The sequence below is a fragment of the Homo sapiens genome, chromosome 11 (assembly GCF_000001405.40).
Source record: "Homo sapiens chromosome 11, GRCh38.p14 Primary Assembly".
Classification (NCBI taxonomy): domain Eukaryota; kingdom Metazoa; phylum Chordata; class Mammalia; order Primates; family Hominidae; genus Homo; species Homo sapiens.
In genome coordinates this window covers 26,297,745-26,319,731 of record NC_000011.10, presented here as the reverse complement: position 1 = coordinate 26,319,731, position 21,987 = coordinate 26,297,745, and the positions used below count along the sequence as shown (strand labels likewise).

Sequence of the window (21,987 nt, the reverse complement as noted above, 5' to 3'; positions counted from 1 at the left end):
AAAATAACAAGGTATCTTTAAAAGCTTTTCTCATTAGCAAAAATGAAAAGGAGCCATGATACCTATTTTTATAGGATATGTTAACAAAGGCATTTTATCATACATTGATTTGGCACTATAAAGTGTTAGAGACAATGTTAACCAATAATCCATCTCCTGGATGTCTATGCCATACAAACAAAGCAGCCATAAGTGATGACCCGTATGTCAAGGTGTTTACTGAGTCATTTTTCTTGGCAGCAAAACAATGGAGACAAAATTAATACCCAACGATATAGTTAATGATGGTTTATCCTACCATGAAGTCTGTCCAATTATTTGAGGAGGTAGAAAACATATAGAAAGTTACATACTAGGTTATTAACTTGGGTGGGCAGGTTAAGATGGGAGGATGGAAGAAGAGAGGGAAAAAGGGGAGTCAAAAAAGGGAAAAAGCCAGGCACAGTGGCTCATGCCTGTAATCCTAGCACTTTGGGAGGCCGAGGTGGGAGGATCACTTGAGTCCAGAAGTTCCAGACTATCCCTGGCATCATAGAAAGACCCTGTCTCTACAAAATAATAATAACGATAATAATAATAATAATAATGTTATCTGGAAGTAGTGGCACACACCTGTAGTTCCAGCTACGTTGGAGGCTGAGGTGGGAGGGTCATGTGAGCCTGGGAGCTTGAGGCTACAGTGAGCCGTGGCCCTGACATTCCACTCCAGCCTGGGCAACAGAGTAAGACCCTGTCTCAGAAAAAAATACAAAGGGCTAGGGGAAGAAAACAACTATATATTCAAAAGAAGATGTATTGCCACATATACACACTTGTGTAAAATTATGTATATGTATGGGTAAAACAAAACTAAACATTAAAACAAATTCTTATATATTTAGCCCAACATAATTTATCCACCAGATTTATCCATATTCCTCAGTAGGAACCCTCAACTTGGGTCAAAATATATTCCTAGATGTGCCTCATAAAAATAATCCAAAATACCTCCTTTTGTTTCCTCTTTTTGGAATGTTCTCCACCTGATGCACATCATACAAGTTCTCCAAGGACCAGTTGATGTGTCATCTCTCCTCTGAATACACCAGCCCACACAAAGTCTCTTCCAAACTTCTTTATCCTTACTAAATAATTTAGCACTTAATTATATAGAACCACGAATTGTTCTCTGATTCTTTTATGCTGTCAGTCGTGTCTCCCTACCGATTAGTCCTATTCTAAGTTTCTATTTCTTTTAACAGATGCATCACCAAATTGTACCTTTTGGATGGTGATTGTTCTATACAGCATAATGCTTAGTCTGGTTTCCAAACATGGATGCAGCTGAGAAAGTATGCAGCCATGACCTCAGAAGACCTTAGTTAAAATTGCATTCTGTTAATTGCTATGGAATGTGCCTGAGTACATTGTATTTCTCTCAGCCTTGGTTCTAATATCTGTAAAATAGGACTCTGAGGCTTAATATACATTTTTAATTATACTTTAAGTTCTGGGGTACATGTGCAGAACATGCAGGTTTGTTACATAGTTATACACGTGCTGCGGTGGTTTGCGGCACCCATCAACCTGTCATCTACATTAGGTATTTCTCCTAATGCTATCCCTCCCCTAGCCCCCAACTCCCTGACAGGCCCTGGTGTGTGATGTTCCCCTCCCTGTGTCCATGTGTTCTCATTGTTCAACTCCCACTTATGAGTGAGAACATGTGGTGTTTGGTTTTCTGTTCTTGTGTTAGTTTGCTGAGAATGATGGTTTCCAGCTTCATCCATGTGCCTGCAAAGGACATGAACTCATCCTTTTTTATGGATGCATAGTATTCAATGGTGTATATCTGCCACATTTTCTTTATGCAGTCTATCATTGATGGGCATTTGGGTTGGTTCCAAGTCTTTGCTATTGTGAACAGTGCTGCAATAAACATACGTATGCATGTGTCTTTATAGTCACATGATTTATAATCCTTTGGGTATATACCCAGTAATGGGATTGCTGGGTCAAATGGTATTTCTGGTTCTAGATCCTTGAGGAATCTCCACACTGTCTTCCACAATGGTTGAACTAATTTACACCCCTACCAACAGTGTAAAAGCGTTCCTATTTCTTCACATCCTCTCCAGCATCTGTTGTTTCCTGACTGTTTAATGATCACCATTCTGACTGGCATGAGATGGTACCTCATTGTGGTTTTGATTTGCGTTTCTGTAATGACCAGTGATGATGAGCTTTTTTCATGTTTGTTGGCCGCATAAATGTCTTCTTTTGAGAAGTGTCTGTTCATATCCTTTGCCGACTTTTTGATGGGGTTGTTTTTTTTTTCTTGTAAATTTATTTAAGTTCCTTGTAGATCCTGGATATTAGCCCTTTGTCAGATGGATAGATTGCAAAAATTTTCTCCCATTCTGTAGGTTGCCTGCTCACTCTGATGATAGTTTCTGCCAGCTCTTAATATACATTTCAAAACAGCCTGGATTGTAGGAAGCATTCTGAATAGGTGAACCTGACCTTGAGTCTGAACTCTGTAACAACTTATCTCGTATAGCACCTAGCAATTTTTTACCTGTCCCTCTGCATCCATGTTATTTCACACTGAGACTAGCTACGACAGTGTGCTACCCAGAACTAGTGTTACCTTATAATTTATTTTCCTAACAGGCATACCTTTGAACATGAAAGGGATTGCTATTAGTTATTACACTGAATGCGACCACAGGCATAAATAAGGATTGTCTCTGGCCAACTAGGTGTAGGGGGACCCCCTGAAACTATTGCTATGGAATAAAAGATGAAATGCTCCTGATTATTGTAAATACAAAGTTGCATGTAGGATTGTGTAAAGACAATGCAAGGTTGGGCTGCCAGAATGAGCCAACACTGCGTGATGTGCTTCCCCCTGCAGAGAGCCTATGAACGGACATGCAGTCAGTGAGGTTTCACATCACCAAGATTCCTATCCCAGAAAAGCAGATGTTCATAGCTCTGGGGATGGAATGCGACCCTTGTGGAGAGTCTATAAACGGACACATGAGGGGGCACCTGTTCATATGGATAAGATAGGGCTATAAACACACTTACCTTGCCACGGCTCTTGTAGGTCTCTTTAGGGTTAAGACATACTCCCTTCTGAGAATTTGTGGTCTAACCGGTTGTCTAGTTTCACTTCCTGCTTCTATTGATTGTTTGCAACCAGCTTTTGCTGCAATTATTACTACTGATTAGTGTCTTACTAAAAATAGCTTATGGATAGACTGTGTTTCTGTTTTAAGGCTCTGTTAGAAATTGCTGATGCACACACTATATTGTAAATTCTTATCTCTGTATACTGTACTTATGCATACCGATGATATGTTAAAGAATTACTTCATCCCATGGGACCATCTCACCTCATAATCAAATGACCCTAAATCCCTCACTAACCTACCCCTGCCCTCACTAAACTGAATAAATGCTGGTATATCCAGTGCATTGGTGGCATCGCAGGACCAGAAGGCGGTGACACCCCTGGACCCAGCTTTCACTATCTTGTGTGTGTCTTTTATTTCTCGACCTGCAGATCTGCCTGGGAACAAAGAAAGAGCCCCATTGCATTAAGGGCTGCTGGCCAGATCCCGCAATAACTGGGAACTATGCAGACCACATCTAGGGTAAATATGCAGCCACAAACACATACCTCATTTGTGTGTAGTAGGAGATAATTCTATTTCCTATTTACCCCTTCTGTTCTCACCCTCAACCCCAGTGGAGAGGATAGGTCTTTAGTAAAAGAGTGGAGACATAATTGGCATAATTAATTAATTACTCTATGAGGTAGAGTCAATATTAATAGGGCTATGTTTTGTTTATCTTTCCCTCTATCAAACATTTTAAGGTTATAAGGCAGTGGTTTTAAGTTGATGAACATGAGACAAATCTGGCTTTTGGGTTGTCTTATTTGGTCTACAGAATATTTATTTAAATGATTCAAAAGCATCTCCAATATTCTAAAGTGAGATAGCTAGGTAGGTAGGTAGATAGGTAGGTAGGTAGATAGATAGATAGATAGATAGATGGATAGATAGATAGATAGATAGATAGACAGACAGATAGATAGGTCCAGATTTGCAATTTCTCTTGAAAAAAAAAAGAGAATATCTCTTAAAAGTGAAACTTTATTCCCACTTGTCAACGATCAAGTAGAACTGAACAGTCAATTCTTTCTAATTTTATCTCTAGTTCATTATACTTCTCCTAAATTTGAGGGTTAATTATATTTATTCTTCCCCAAGGGATAGCATGGACTGCCTGCCTAATTCACCCACATGTTCTGCCTAGACCCTGAAAGCATTAGATATTCTAAGCTTCAGGTAAATCTCCTCCCAGCAACTTGCAGCAGAGACTTTCAGAGTGCTGCCAGAAACAAGATGGAGAGCAGAAGATTAGAAAAACTGAGGAGAATTGAGGGGAAATCACTGGAGTCTAGAAAAAGAGGATGGACTCTGAGCTGCTCACCCGAAGTGGATTTTTATGGACTGATAATTAGATAGGAAATAATAGGTAATACACAGATATTTTTGGACTGATAGAAAACAAGATGAATTGCTCTTCATCTGAATGCCATACATAGATGTAATCATCTACAGCTGTTTTTTTTTCTGAGAATATACATAATATAGACCTACCTAGGATTTATGGAAAGAAAATATTAGATGTAAAATAAAAACAATAATATTTACTCATAAAACTATTGGGATTAAACCCAGCAATAACAATATAACTTATCAACTACACATAACTATGCAATGCTGAATGGCTTGATGATGATGGAGAAGGGTCTATATTAATGGAGCATGCTTCTCAGTTTGGGAGGTTGATTAGATTACCCAGATAAAGTCTTTATATCTTGCTTCTTTGACTCACATTTACTGAACACCTCTTGTTGAAAATAGAGATAAGAGAAAAACCTATTAAGTCATTACTAATCTGACTTGGATCAATTTATCATTATTTCACATATTTATTATGTTTCCTGAGCCCTGAGACCCTGGGGTCTCAAAGAGAGGAAGGACCAACATCTTTGCCCAACAGAGTGGGATGACAGCAAGAGGCTCCAGACAAACCTGGTTCTAGAAACTAATATACAGAAGAAGACAAAGAAAGAAAAAGAAGGAGGGGAAGGTTGGCTGACTTGCCTTTCTCACTTATAATCATAGGGCACTGCCTCACATCTCTCCACAGCATCCTCGCCAATCCATTTTTGGCCACAGGAATTTTGTATATTACCCCATTTACAATGAAAAAGCAGTAATGAGTAGAATAACAGCAACTAATATTTAATGAGATTTTTAGTATGCTAAGCACTTATCTCAATCCTAATACTATCTTTATAAGATCAGTAATGTTTTCACAAATTTATAAATGAGGAAATTGGGAAACAGTTGAATTAAGTAACATATGTAAAATCATGCAGCTGGAAAATGCATAACTAAGATTTGTATGCAGATAATCGGACTCAAAAGTCCAGGAAGATGATTGCCGTGCAGTAATAGCTCTATAACCCCTCTTCTCAGCTGTCTTATAAGACGGAAAACATGGCATGCTGGCGAGCAATTTCCATTTCAAGGCCTGGTATAAAGGCTACTCTCTTGATAAGGCCTTACTGAATTTGCCACATTGAAATTAAACTCTCTCTCCATTGTGGGCCCACAACACTGTATTCCTCTCTAGGGACAAACATGTATTGCCTTTTATTATAAGCACTTATGCATTTTTCTTCTACTGAACTTTTCATGTTGAGAAAAACCCTGGCAGTCATGCTCACTTCTGTCTCTATCTCTTTCTTTTTTAGGTACTCTCTTTTTATTATATTATATTATATTATATTATAATATTTAATTTCATTTAAATATTAAGACTTTTTGTTATAATGTAATCACAAAAAGCATACATTTACATAGCATTTAACAAATTGTTTTCTAATTCAGTAACTCTTCCAGTACTTACACATAATCTACATTTGTGAACTATGTATTATCACCTGTAATTTTCTTTCTTTCTTTTTTTATTTTTTTTTGAGACACAGTCTTGCTTCATCACCAGGCTGGAGTGCAATGGCATGATCTCAGCTCACTGCAACCTCTGCCTCCTGGATTCAAGCAATTTTCCTGCCTCCGCCTCCCAAGTAGCAGGGACTATAGGCACGCACCACCACGCCCAGCTAATTTTTTTGTATTTTTAGTAGAGACAGGGTTTCACCATGTTGGCCAGGATGGTCTCGAGCTCTTGACCTCATGATCCACCTGCCTCAGCCTCCCAAAGTGCTGGGATTAGAGGCGTGAGCCACCATGCCTGGCCTATCACCTGTATTTTTCTAATAAAAATTAAGAGACTCTAAGAAATTACGTTACTGCACCTAATTTAATATTGATTCTTCTAATTTTGAATCCAATGTTCTTTTCAGAGCCTTTTCATGTACTCTCACACTTTGCTCAGTGTCTGTTACAAAAAAGATTCACAGCAATGGTGCAATAAATGAATAAATGAATGGACACATGTCCTAAGAAAAGAAGACACTCTATTGAACATATTTTGTACTGATATGCTAGGTACAAAATATATTTTGCATCGATATGCTAGGTACTCACCTTTTATCCAACGAATAAAATGACTTGTGCAAAGATTGGATCTTTCTAGGTTGCATTATAAGAACAAAACAGCAATAGGAACAACTGATTTGAAACAATAAAGATTAAAGTACACTCTCTCTGAAGAATTTGGAATTCATTTAAACAGAATTTCCAAAGCAAATGATGGAATAGTATATTTACATGATATTTAATTATTTACCATGTTCATGAAAATAAGATCTGTGCTAAAAGAAGAGAAGCCTTTCGAAATTGACAAATGAGATCTAATTAAACTAAAGAGCCTCTGCACAGCAAAAGAAACTACCATCAGAGTGAACAGGCAAACTACAGAATGGGAGAAAATTTTTACAATCTACCTATCTGACAAAGGGCTAATATCCAGAATCTACAAATAACTTAAACAAATTTACAAGAAAATTCAACCCCATCAAAAAGTGGGTGAATGATATGAACAGACACTTCTCAAAACAAGACATTTATGCAGCCAACAGACACATGAAAAAATTCTCATCATCACTGACCATCAGAGAAATGCAAATCAAAACCATAATGAGATACCATCTCACACCAGTTAGAATGGTGATCATTAAAAAGTCAAGAAACAACAGGTGCTGGAGAGGATGTGGAGAAATAGGAACACTTTTACACTGTTGGTGGGACTGTAAACTAGTTCAACCATTGTGGAAGACAATGTGGCAATTCCTCAAGGATCCAGAACTAGAAATATCATTTGACCCAGCCATCCCATTACTGGGTATATGCCCAAAGGATTACAAATCATGCTGCTATAAAGACACATGCAAACGCATGTTTATTTCAGCACTATTCACAATAGCAAAGACTTGGAACCAACCCAAATGTCCATCAATGATAGACTGGATTAAGAAAATGTGGCACATATACACCATGGAATACTATGCAGCCATAAAAAAGGATGAGTTCATGTCCTTTGTAGGAACATGGATGAAACTGGAAACCATCATTCTGAGCAAACTATCGCAAGGACAGAAAACCAAACACTGCATGCTCTCACTCATAGGTGGGAATTGTGAGAATACTTGGACACCGGGTGGGGAACATCACACACCGGGGCCTGTTGTGGGGTTGGGGGAGAGCGGAGGGATAGAATTAGGAGATATACCTAATGTAAATGACCAGTTAATGGGTGCAGCACACCAACGTGGCACATGTATACGTATTTAACAAACCTGCACATTGTGCACATGTACCCTAGAACTTAAAGTATAATAAAAAGTTTTTTAAAAAACAAGAGAAGGCTTTTAATCAGTTAAGAGGGAAATATGGATCAATTCCCTAGAAAACTCACATGAATCTCCCCACAGTTAAAAATTTGGCTTAAATTAAGACAGAAAGACATATCAGAGTACAGGAGATAATTGGTGCTCTACTGTACACAGCAGTCATGGGCTTTCAATAAAACTAAGGACCTCTGTAAAACTGTGAATTGTTTTTGAAAAGTCAACTTAGAGCTGCCTAGCAACTTATCCTTCTCCTCTTTAGTAATATCTTCACCTACACACAGAAGTTGGGTGACCTATCATGTGAGTATATGTTTTCTAGGACAGGTCTGGAGACAACGTAAAAATACTGCTTTCTAACAATTCTAATCCTAAATTTCATAGTCAATGGGAATTTTATATTTCACTAGTTTCAAGGCTTATGCCAATATCTGTGAATCATGAAGAGCTCTGTCTCTTCAGGAGACAGATGTGGGTTCAAGTCCCGGTCAGGCCTTCGTGAGGGCAGAAGCAGCTAGAACACTAGTTACTCGTTACTTCACATGTCTAGTCCTCATTCATCTAATCCTAGTAGTAGCACTGGCCTCATAGAGTTGTTGGGAAGAGTCAATAAATCCACACAATAGACTTAGTCAATGAACCAAATACAGTACCTGACACATAAGAATAATTTCATAAATACCAATTTCTTTGAATATTCTCATTGTCCTTAATGTTATCCCAGAATCTGTTTTTACTCACTTCATTGATTCCCCATTTCTCCTTTCTAATTTCCATTCCGTAAACCACCTTTCTTTGAGTATGAAGAAACTTCTGATAATGACCTGTATGTATTATTTAATATGAGAAAGCCATTTAGAGGCAAAGCAATGAGGGATAAAATAGTAAAGAAAAAAAATAATAGCAAAGTTTATGCCAGAGAAAATCTGGTTTACCAGTTGCTTCTAGGCATCCCAAGTGGCTTTTACTGTGTGTATGGTGAGAGATTGATCTTCAGTTACCGTCTCCGAAATCTGACTTTGGCAGAAGGAAGCAGAAGCTTTTCCTAAGGTAGACTCATGGTAAACAAGTTCACAGAATATACTATAATACCAATATAATACTAATAAAATTATTCTTATGTCATGAAAAATAGTACTGCTGTGGGGACTGGCAGTTATAGTGTCTATGTAGCACATACATTTCCAAAACACACATATTCACACAACACACACATGGGTGCAGACTAGAAAACAGTGAAACCAGAGATTTATGCCAGAATCAAGGCAAGGCGAGTCAGTCATATGATTTAAAAAGTTAATAGCATTAGGCTATGGTAGTCCAATGTACACCTCTCAGTTTGGTATTCAGGCAGAAGGAACTCTTGGACTAAAGTAAACTCTTCTATGAAAAAATTCTCCTGCAAGTATGGCCAATGTTTAACTCTCTATTTTATGTTTTCTCATGTGAATAGCTACCTTCTGAATGATCTATTCTCCGTCTAACCTTGATAATGTAATTGATTAACTCAGTTAACCAATAACCAATCAATTGGTTAACCAATAGAATTGCTCTCTCTCTTGAAAAGCGGGCCTCAAAAAGAAGTTGACTGCTAAGTACATTTTGCATTTATCTGATTTCATCTATTATAGGTTGGTTTATTGCTAACTATTCAGGGATTTTATGGCTGTTTGCTATTTTATATATGTAGCTATCTTTGCACATATATAAATGATTATCATATAAAATCTACATTACCTTTTTTAAAAGTATGTAATGTAAGTATGTGTATATCAAATGATTTGTGTAGGGCCTTTTGCTGATTAATTTATTAATGCTTACTGAGATTGCACAGTTATTTTGGAAGGTAAATACTTTCTTAAATGGTGCAAATGTTTTTGTATGTGAGCTCTTGTATGAGACATTTATAAGTAAATGCGTTTTTATTAGAAGCTTAGGATAAAAATAAATTACATATGTGAATATGCTTTGCAAAGTGCATGATGAGCTAAATGTCACATATGGTAATTATTAACATGAGACTAAATTTGCGTTAAATTTTCACCCCCCCTGTAAAGACTCTGGAGTTGCTACCACATTATATTGAAGAACAGAGTTGGTGGGAGCTCTTGAAACACCATCCCCAAGACTCACCTTCATTATATTTGCCTTTGGCAGCCCACACACTCTTCTCAAGCTCACGATGAGAAAAGCACAACTTTTGCAGACCTGTGAGAGAGAACAAAAGAGAAAAATAAAAATTGCTCAGAAACTCAGTAGACCAGAAAGAGAGTAGAAAATTATCATGGAAAAGAAGAGCTTTTCATGTTGACTATAGCTGCAGTATAACTACTATCTGATATAGGCCAAATTAGTTCTGAAGAAGTGTGTAGGAAGATACAATTTTCAGTAAATTGCATTAGAAACTAAGCAGGTGGGTAGGTTCTATTCACTGTTATGCAAGCTGATTTAGCTGTCATCTTTGAAACAGCTTAGAATGGACAGATTTTCCAATTACATTTTCCTAGGGTGGGTAACACACTCTTCTAATATTCTGCACCCCCAAACTCGGAGGCTGTACCTTTTCCTTTGCTCACTCTGATCTTTTTCATAGGCATGCTAAATCACCGGAATTATTGAGCATAACCTATCCTTTCTAACCTCTGCTCAGCCTGTTGTCTGTGTCTAGAATGCCTTCTTTATCTAACAAGTCAATGGAAAGTCTACTCTTATGATTCAACTCTTAGAAAGACAACTTTTTAAGTGACACCTCCACTTAGGAACAATCATTCCTATTAAAAAAGCTTTTCTATGGAAATGTGTGCAATCCTGAAATGTTACCTAGTAAAATGCAGTGGAGACTACATTCCCATCACTCTAACTATATGAACTTAGGGAGATTAAAAACTCTGACCTCAGTTTTTCTTTCTCCTGCAAAATAGAAATAATAATAAGAACTACCTTGAAATGCTGTAAAAATAAAAATGTGCATAGGCTGTTTAGCTTTTGTGCATGCTAAATCCCTGGGATAGATCCTGGTTCATAGTAAGTATTCAGCAAGTGGTAGCAATCAACAACTTTTTCTGCCCATAATTATAGTAATTCCTTTATTTCTCTGCCTCCCTCATTAGACAATCAGTTCCTTAACGGTGGATACCATATCTTTGAATTCATTTCTGTATTCTTTTCCCTGTTCCCAAATGTTTGACAAAGTACCTTGTATTTAACAAGGTTTTGTTTTCATTTTAATATAAGTTGCCTAAGCTTATTCAATTGATACATGATATATTTAACCTCACTTTTTAAGTAGCCTGCCAATTGAATAAAATTAGTTTTATGTAATAACAGAAAAAAAATTCTGTAAAATATCTGCTTAAATACTTTTATAAGAGTATAAACTTGCTTGCCAGATAAATGAATAATGATGTGCAGTCTACTTCATTTATAATAGTAGAGTGTATTTTATAATGGTTGAGTGAATTCTGTACTAAATTGTATGAAATCCCCTTAAATATAAGTTTATGGAATGTAAACTGAAAGGAACCTTGAGGACGATCTAATCCAATCCTTATTTCACAGATAAGCAAACTGAGACCCAGTATGTGTAAGGGAATTATTAGGAGATGTGCATCTTGGAAGTCACAGAGAGAAAACTTGAATCCAGGTCTCTTCATTGTTTTTTCTTGTCTAACACTTTTGTGTCTTTGCAGAAAGATATTTAGATTTGCCAATTGTGCCATCAACATGATAAAACAGATAAAATGATTTTGAGGAGACTAAGACCAGATGTTCAGAAAAGCCATAATAAATTTGAACTAAATATCTTCAGTTAAAGATGGAAAGCAAGCTGAACTCCAAAAGTAGAAGGATTTGGGTAGACCAAGGAAATTACAAGGTAACTTCAGGTGTGAGAAATAATGAGTGAAGTGTAAAATCAGAATAGACAAAGACTTTGTGAGATGAAGGAGAGGAAAATGGGGTTAGAGAAGCCTGTTCACAGAACCCTAGGCAGATGCAGAAAAGGCATAATTATAAGAAAGCTGAAAACACGTAGTGCAATTCAATCATGTGATGGTGAACAAAACTAAATAATTTTGTCTTTTTCATTAAATTGTTATTATTATTATTATTATTATTATTATTATTATTATTTAGAGACGGAGTTTCGCTCTTGTTGCCCAGGCTACAGTGCAGTGATGACATCTCTGCTCACTGCGACCTCCACCTCCTGGATTCAAGTGATTCTCCTGCCTCAGCCTCCTGAGTAGCTGGGACTACAGGCATGTGCCACCATGTCTGGCTAATTTTTGCAGTTTTAGTAGAGACATTTAAATTTTTAGTAGAGACATTTCACCATATTGGCCAGGCTGGTCTCGAACTCCTGACCTTAGGTGATCGGCCTGCCTCAGCCTCCCAAAGTGCTGGGATTACAGGCGTGAGCCACGGCACCCAGCCCCTCATTAAATTATTAACTACATCTGGAGGACATTAAAAAAGAGACCCTTTACTTATTTATTTTGAGACAGAGTTTTGCTCTTGTTGCCCAGGCTGGAGTGCAATGACGCAATCTTAGCTTACTGCAACCTCCGTCTCCTGGGTTGAAGCGATTCTCCTGCCTCATCTTCCCAAGTAGCTGGGACTAGAGATATGTGCCACCACGACTGGCTAATTTTTGTATTTTTAGTAGAGGCGGGGTTTTACTATGTTGGCTAGGCTGGTCTCAAACTCCTGACCTCGTGATCCGCCTGCCTCGGCCTCCCAAAGTGCTGGGATTACAGGCATGAGTCACCATACCCAGCCAACCCTATTTATTAAAAGTACATTTTGGGAAAATTAATCTAACATTTATGTGTAGAAGATTGTAAAAAAAAAAGTCATAGTTTAAGGCCCCATAGATTATATGGGAATTTTAAAAAGTAGACTGAAGCTTCAATAAAGGTTGTGGCATTGTAAATAGAATATATGGGTAACATTACAAAAGAAACCTCAAATTACCCAGTTGGCTAGAAAGTAAAGAATAGAGACAGAGATAGAAGGAGATCATATTTCATAATATTTCATACTTAGGAGACCTCACACATGTTTTCCATTGACAAAGTTAGGAATGCAGGGAAGAAGGTCATGCTGGTATGAGATGTGATAGCCCCATTCCAGACTACTGATTTTGGGGGCAATTCCGGTTTTTAAAAAATATGTTTTCTTTTTTTTTAGAGACAGGATCTCACTCTGTCATCCAGGCTGGAGTGTGGTGGCACAATCAGGGCTCACTGCAGCCTTGACCTCCAAGGCTTCAGTGATCCTCCCACCTCAGCCTCCCAAGTAGCTGGGACCACAGGTGCACACCACTGCACCTGGCTAATTTTTTATTTTTTGTAGAGACGAGGTCTCCCTATATTGCCCAGGCTGGTCAGCCTCCCAAAGTGCTGAGATTATAAGTGTGAACCACCATACCTGTCCTTGAGTTTGGGACAATTCTATCCATGCATTCGGGAGCCTTGGAGAGAGGTAAGGTTAGGAGATACAGATTGGGATATTATGCAAAGGTGAAGGCTGAATCTATATAAGGATTAAGTTCTTGAAAGACAAGAATAGGAAGAATAGGCCGGGAGCGGTGGCTCACGCCTATAATCCCAGCACTTTGGGAGGCCGAGGCGGGCTGATCACGAGGTCAGGAGATCGAGACCATCCTGGCTAACACGGTGAAACCCCGTCTCTACCAAAAATACAAAAAAAAAAAAAAAAAAAAAATTATCCGGGCTTGGTGGCGGGCGCCTGTAGTCCCAGCTACTCTGGAGGCTGAGGCAGGAGAATGGCGTGAACCTGGGAGGCGGAGCTTGCAGTGAGCCGAGATCGCGCCACTGCACTCCAGCCTGGGCGACAGCGAGAAGCGAGACTCTGTCTTAAGAAGAATAGGAAGAATAAAGTGCAGGGAGGAAGACAAATTCTTAGCCCACACCTACAGCTGGTTGGCAGAATATAAAAGAGAAACCAATAAACCAGTGAAGAGCTATCAATGGAGTATTTGAAACAAAATATATTTTCAACTCCATAATGAGCGAGCCCTACATACTAAATGCAGTTGAGGAGCATGTTTACTGGGTATAACTATATCAATTTCAAAATGCTAGTTTCCATATCAGGATTTATATCTGGCCAAATGATTCAACTCTTGTATGAAAAAATAAATATAATTTAATGAAGAACTCTGAAAGTAGTTATGTAAGATTAGTTCATCTTTAGAAACATAAAAGTGAATTGAAATATTTCATTAAAATATTGGTTTCTGAGAAAAAGTCTCTGCAGACTACTTGTTGAATATCACTTATCAAATTTGCTATTCCTCTGAAAACCCTCTTTTATCAGGATTTATGAATAAGACAAACATTAGGTCTCTCTTCTGTCTCGGTGGAAAAACCCCATGCTAATCCGATTAAAGTTCCTTAAATAAGTTAACAGATCTGGGTGCCAATATCATCAAAGGAGCTACATGTCATCTTGAATGAGTTTTGGGAAGGAAGGCCAGCCAATGTCAGAAGTTGTTTGAATGAAAAGCTGAGACTTTTCAAAGTTGCCTTTAATCATACGCTGACTCAATAAATAAAGACATCTAAACCAGATTGAATCATGCATTATCAATGCTGAAAGACAACCTACAATAAAATGTCTTTATTAGAACCAAAGTTGTTTATGTGGAATATTACTTTTTTTTTTTTTTTGCCTTGTAGGGAGCTAATGAATCGGTTTGGAATAAAAGTAATTCATAAACATCTAATTGGATAACTGTGAAGAGTTCACTTTTTCTTAATTTCTATCTCTGTAAAATGAGAAGATCGAACTGGACCCTTTTCTTTTTTTTAAAAAAAAGCAGTTTTCAAGTCCTTTAATTGGGATAATAATATGTTTATTATCAAATCTTCTTCAACCTGACCTTTCACAAAGTCATAATGCAGATAATAACATGAGTGACCAGTCTTGGTTGGAGAGCAATTTGGTAGAAATTTAAAAACTTAAAATACATATTCACTCTAACTCAGTAATCTCACTTCTGGGAATCTCTCTTTTCGGTATACATGCACAAAGCCAGAAAGATGGATTAACTGATGTTTGTTGCCATACTATGTGTAACATTGAAAAATTGAACACAAATCCTAAGAAAACTTGTATAACATAATTTTACAATCTTATGGAGCTAGTAAAAAATGAGGTGGTTCTATATGTACTGATATGGTGAAATATTATTATATATCCTTAAGTGAAAAAATAAGTTATCAAATGGCTGTACTATGACTTATTTGCAATCTCCCCTATTGTATTTATTTATCTATATTAGATAAATGGGAAAGAATAAGAAGGGATACATACATTAAACTGTAACTGTGGTTACCTGTGTACAGTGTCTTTGGGAGGTAATTTTTAAAAAAAGTTAAATAAGTGTTTGCAATTTGAGAAAATGGCCTTTAAATAATAAATAACATGAATTTAGTGGGTAAAAAGGCAATTAGTACTCCTCACTAGGTCCTAGTTATATTACATATAAATCCTTAATGCTTTTAAAGCATTATGTAGAGGACAATCTACATTTGCCATTGCTATAGGTACTCAACATACTATTTAAAGAGTAATAAGTTGAAGTCACTGAAAAAAGCCTAAATAAAAAGCTTCCTCTATTTCAAATGAAAATTGTAAATATGAAAATATTAAATTATGTACATATGAAAAATATTAATCCTTAGTAGTAATCGAAGAAAATGAATCAAAACAAGAATATAATACCATTCAATCAACATATTATAAAAGCCAAAGTGAATATTATTTGATATTACTTAAGATTTGATCACAAGAAACTTAAAAAAATAATTTTGGCCGTGCACGATGGCTCACGCCTGTAATCCTAGCACTTTGGGAGGCTGAGGCAGGTGGATCACGAGGTCAAGAGATCGAGACCCGCCAAAGTGGTGAAACCCCTACTCTACTAAAAATACAAAAATTAGCCAGGTATGGTGGCAGGCACCTGTAGTCTCAGCTACTTGGGAGGCTGAGGCAGGAGAATCACTTGAACCTGGGAGGCAGAGTTTGCAGTGAGCCGAGATCATGCCACTGCACTCCAGCCTGGGTGACAGTGCTAGACTCCATCTAAAAATAAATAAAATAATAACAATAATAATTTCAACTTTTATTTTAGATTCAAGTGGTACATTTGTAGGTTTGTTACATGGGTATATTGCATGATGCTGAGGTTTGGGATATGGATGATCCCATCAGCTAGGTAGTGAGCATAGTACTCAATAGGCAGTTTTTCAGTCCATGCGTTCCTTCCTCCGTCTCCCTCTTAATAGTCCCCAGTGTCTATTGTTTCCATCTTTGTGTCCATATGTACTTGATACTTAGCTCCCATTCATAAATGAGAACACAAAGTACTTGGTTTTCTGTTCCTGCATTAGTTCGCTCAGGATAATGGCCTCCAGTTGCATCTTTGTTGCTGCGAAGGGCATAATTTCATTCATTTTATGGCTGTGTAGTATTGTATGGTGTATATATACCACATTTTTTTTTTAAATCAGTCCACCATTGAAAGACACCTAGGTTGATCTCATGTCATTTCCATTGTCAATAGCGCTGTGATGAACATACAACTGCATGCATCTTTTTGGCAGAACGATTTATTTTCCTTTGGCTATATGCCCAGTAATGGGATAGCTGGGTCAAATGGTGGTTCTGTTTTCAGTTCTTCGAGAAATCTCCAAACTGTTTTCCACAGTGGCTGAACTAATTGACATTTCCACCAACAGTGTATAAGTGTTCCCTTTTATCTGAAGCCTCACTAGCATTTGTTATTGTTTTACTTTTTAATTATAACCATTCTGATTGATGCAAGATGGCATTTCATTGTGGTTTTGATTTGCATTTCTCTGATGATTAGTGATGTTGAGGATTTTTTCATATGTTTGTTGGCTACTTTTAAAAAATGTCTATTCATTTCCTTTGCCCATTATTAATAGGGTTATTTGTTTTTTGCTTGTTGGTTTAAGTTACTAGGAAATTTTATATATTACTGGTGCTAATAGTTTTTGCGTGATAGCATCATAATTTCTAAACACATATATATGTCCATACAAAAGCTGAAAATATATTACAGAATATTAAAAGTGCTGATTTTCAAATAATAAGATATAAGGCATGTTATTTCTTTCTCTGTGTACTTTCAACACATCCCAGTATTTATGCATTTGTACTTTGTTATTTATATTTTTTCTATAATGGTAAATATATAAATAGTTTGAAAGTAATATTTGTTTAAGGCCGTTAGTTTATTCACTGAAATAATCGGAGGCATTCTTTTGACTTCTGTCATTTTTCCTTTTTATTATCATTATTATTTTGAGACAGAGTCTCACTCTGTTGCCAGGCTGAAGTGCAGTGGCGCCATCTCACCTCACTGCAACCACTGCCTCCCAGGTTCAAGCGATTCTCCTGCCTCAGCCTCCTGAGTAACTGGCATTACAGGCGTGCGTCACCATGCCCAGCTATTTTTTGTATTTTTAGTAAAGACGGGGTTTCACCGTGTTGGCCAGAATATTCTCAATCTCTTGACCTCGTGATCCACCTGCCTCGGCCTCCCAAAGTGCTGGGATTACAGTCGTGAGCCACCGCACCTGGCCATCATTTTTCTTAAATAAACTCTCATACACTAACCACTTTTTATGAATTAGCTATTCTCCTCACTTCTCCAAAGAACCAGATAAAATTCAGTTTATGTATAAGAAATTATATGAGACAGACAGCACATGATGACTGGAAGACTGGCTGAATCTTGGCAGTTACCTTCACAGTCTCTGCCTAGTACCTTGTAGCTTAGCAGGGCTGAATCACCAGTCTCTCCCCTACTTTTCGATTTGGGATATTAATAACTTTCTATCATTTTTACCATAAATGCTCTTCTAAAACATGCAGGCCTATCTATGTGATGGGGCTTAGAAATGAGTTGATAATGTAAAGGTCTATCTCACTCTCACTTTGAGCCTCCTTGTCTTTTGAGATGACATCAATGGGGGCAGGGATAAAACAGTCTGTTCTATAAGGTAATTGAAGGTTTTTGTAACAATAGGGATGGAAGAAATAAAACATTTTATCATAGAAGGCATTTAAGGGTTTTTGCAACTGTAGGTATGTAAGAATCTTTTACCTGAACTTAACATTCATTTTTCATTCTCTGTCTCTCTTCTTCCTTCCCTATCTCTCAATCCCTCCACTCCCCTACATAACATAATGTGTTTATAGAATGACAGAAGTGGAAGAAATACTAGATCTTCCATTCTACTTTTAGGAATTGTAATCCTTGGAGCACTTGAATTATGTGTAGCTGCATCAAAGAAACCTAAAACAGTACAAAGGTGTTCAGTGAGTGGCCAACTGGATGCACCAGCCCTTGTTTAAATAAAAGTACTTCAGTTTCATTTATGCTGCTATTTTAAAATTATTTTAACTGCATATCTAGTCTATTTTTTCTCATTTAATAAGCTAAGAAACTACAGACTCAGAAAGCTCAATTACCTAACCAAGGCTATAAATAGGCAATGTCAGAATTAGGACAACAATTCAGGTATTTGGTTTTTAAATTCCAAATTGAAATTAGAAATCCAATGACAGTGGTAACAATCTGTCATTCTGGGATTGCCATAGTTTATTAAATACATTATGAAGAGGCAATTAAGAAAGTAAAGAGGCTGGGCGTGGTGGCTCACACTTGTAATCCCAGCACTTTGGGAGGCCGAGGCAGGTGGATCTCGAGGTCAGGAGTTCAAGACCAACCTGGCCAACATGGTGAAACCCCATCTCTACTAAAAATACAAAAATTAGCTGGGAGTGGTGGTGGGCACCTGTAATCCCAACTACTTGGGAGGCTGAGGCAGGAGAATCGCTTGAGCCCAGGAGGCAGAGGTGGCAGTGAGTGGAAATTGCACCACTGCACTTCAGCCTGGGCAACAGAGTGAGACTCCACCTCAAAAAAAAAAAAAAAAGAAAAAAAAGAAAGAAATAAATAAAGTAAAGAAGTACCCAGGCAACAGTAGTGACATTATCCTAACAAGAATATGAGCGATATTATGCAAGGTTATGTTATTTTGCTTCAACTGAGTTACTGAATATATAAGATAATTTATGTTGAGCATCTGCTAAACATTAGCATATAATTTTTCTATACACCTGTTCCACAGACACATATCTATAAGGGAAACTTCTAGAAGTTTGTTCCTATGTGACTGCCAAAATCTGGGCCAATCCTTTTTATCTGGTCCTTAGTCTCCCCATCTATAATGAGGAGAATGAAACTGATCTCTAAAATAATTTTCAATTCTTACATACTTGGTTATTTAGTTGGTGTGTCTCGATTCTTCTCCAGCCTCACTAACTCTCCTTTTCAGCCTCCTTTGTCATTCCTCTTTTTCTTAACCTTTTAACTTTGCAAATGCTATAAAATGGGGGGCAAATGTCGAGAGAGAGAGAGAGGGAGAGCAAATGAGAGAGAGAGATGGAGCCAAAAGGAAAACAAAAATTGCATAGGAAAGATGTAAAACAACTTGCTTTTAAAAGTAAGGTGTGTATGTGTGTGTGTGTCTGTTTGGTGTCTCTGTGTATGCGTGTGTCTGTGTGTGTGTGTCTGTGTGTGTGTGCGTGCGTGCTTGCATGGGCATCGCACTTCCTCCATACTCATACCTATGCAATTAAACCATAAATGAAGGAAAAAACATGCCAGCATACAGACTGGTCTTCCTCAAATTCCTGATAATAACCCCACATGAGGGCTTAATGGTGCCCAGCAGTCAAAATATTTTTCCCAGGTCCAGCTATTCTCCCACTCTCCTAGAAGACTACTTCATACTTTATTCCCTCATTTCAAACCCTGTCTTCCAACACCTCCTCCCTATATCTCACTCTTAGCTGATAATTTTGCTTCCTATTTCACTGAGAAGACTGAAGCAATGTGAAGAAAACTTCCACAGCTCCCACCCACTTATTGGCAATTGTATACTCATATATTCTGCCTTCCTGACTGATAGTCTAGATAAACGAACTGTATTCCAACAAAGGCCATCTCTTCCACATATGGAGTAGTTTCTATCCCTCACTCCTACTTCAGGACAGCAGCCCAATAATTTCCCATACATGCTCTCTCCCTACAGAGTCAAGTCCAGTCCCTGCACCCCCTGCCATTCTAGTTGATAATTATCATCACCATACAAGCATGCCAGTCTCCGCCTCCCCACTCTAGTTGACATTTATCATCACTATACAAATAGGTCTTCTAATCCCTAAAAAGAATAGGAAAAAAAAAAGGCAATCTCTCTTGACTCTAGTTTTCCTGGTGGCTTCTTCTCAACTTATTTGTTGCCTTTTGCTCCACTAGTCCACAAAAGCAGATAAAGTTAGAACCAAAACTTACTATTTCTAATTCATTTTTCAAAAATCCTCTACAGTATTTATTTATTTTCCTCTTATCACTTCACTAAGACTGTCAAAGTTACCAATGACCTCTTCTTCACCAAAGTGAATTCTTAACCTTCAGCTTCTTTGATATATTAGGGGCATGCTATATAATTAATCACACTTTCCTCCTTGATAAACTTCCCCCACTTAGCTTTCAGAATACCACAGTGTCTTGATTCTTCTCCAGCCTCACTAACTCTCCTTTTCAGCCTCCTTTGTCATTCCTCTTTTTCTTAACCTTTTAACTTTGCAAAACCCCAGAAACCTCAAACCTTAGACTCTTCTCTTTATTTCTTATGCCTGGTAATTTCATCCTGTCTCATGGTTTTATACATCTTCTGTAGAACGATACTTCCTAAACGTACATCTCCAGTCCAGATCTCTTTTTCTAACTCCAGGTTTTTAGACCACATGTATGTCTTCTTCACATTTCCATTGGTCTGAAAGAATCAAGTCCAAACTCGACATTCCCAAATGATCTCTCTGATCTTGGCTCCCAGACTGTATTCAGTCATTATTTTGTCATTTCAGTCGATGGAGAAAAGCTTGGGGCCAAAAATCTTGACTCTTCTATCTCACAACACTCATTCATTCTACTTTCAAGTATGTCCGAAATCTAACCATGACTTCTCCCCATCTCCACTGCCACCATCTATTGTACATCTCCTAAATGATTTTGGTCTTGCCACCGTCTCCATTGCCCAAAATGATAGTAGATTTAGGTTTGGAAACGAGTAGACATGAGCTAGGTGATATTAAAGTGAAATTCAGCTAATACAACTCCTTTGTTTAAAACCTTTCATTCAATGAAGCCCCACTTTACTCAGAGTAAAAGGTTAATTACTCAGAATAATTATTTGAAAACGAGCTCTACAAGGCCTGAAATAACCTTGCTTGGCATTGCAAATATTGAAAACACAAGTCTTTCAGTGAACAGTTATTCCATACCCCTCATATTTCCATGTGTAGGGACTTCTGTTGTGGAAAAAAATCTAGTTTATATATGATTTGTTAGCTTAAAATATACAGGAAAAATTGGTTCAGCAATTTCTTTTTTCCTTTCCATTTTGGCCTGTTTTCTCTCTCCTATCACCTGGTATGTGGTCCATCCCTTTGTGGGTGCCCTGGGATCTGCTAGTTGTGCCAGTTACTGGGTGGGTAGCTATTAGATTGAGAATGAGGGAAGGAATTTGGGCAAGCTCCTTTGGCTACATATCTAAGTCCTATTTTCCAGCTTACATCAATTCACAATTGACATTTTGATCTCTGTCTTGTAGTCTCTAGTATTCTATTTCTCAAATATTTTCTGAGAATCCAGGCAGAGAAGAGAAAAATGTTATCTACTGATTCTGCTGAAATCCCAACATGTTCAAGGATTGAGATACTAGTTTCTATGCTCCTCATTTTTGCAGGCACCACCTGCAGTTAGGAAGGAGGGTATAGTGGAAAGAATGGGGCTGTGGTGTCAGGTGGTCTTGGCTTCTCACATCAGATTTGTTACTTACTGATTATGTCACCCAGAGTCGAGTTATTTAACTTCCTCAGCCTCCTTTCCCTGATATAAACAACGGCATGAATAATGACTGCCTCATTGCATTGTTGTGGTGTTAAAAGAAATGATACACATGGAGTTCTTGGAAGGAAAC

At 37.6% G+C, this 21,987-nt stretch overlaps 1 protein-coding gene across 1 annotated transcript in view; it reads right to left on the bottom strand.

The window, feature by feature from the left end:
• Positions 1-21,987, bottom strand: part of ANO3 (anoctamin 3) — a 474,482-nt gene that overhangs the window by 343,558 nt on the left and 108,937 nt on the right. The window contains exon 2 of the mRNA NM_001313726.2: positions 10,013-10,087. Coding sequence (NP_001300655.1) covers positions 10,013-10,087 — 75 coding nt within the window. The remainder of the gene's footprint in view (positions 1-10,012; positions 10,088-21,987) is intronic.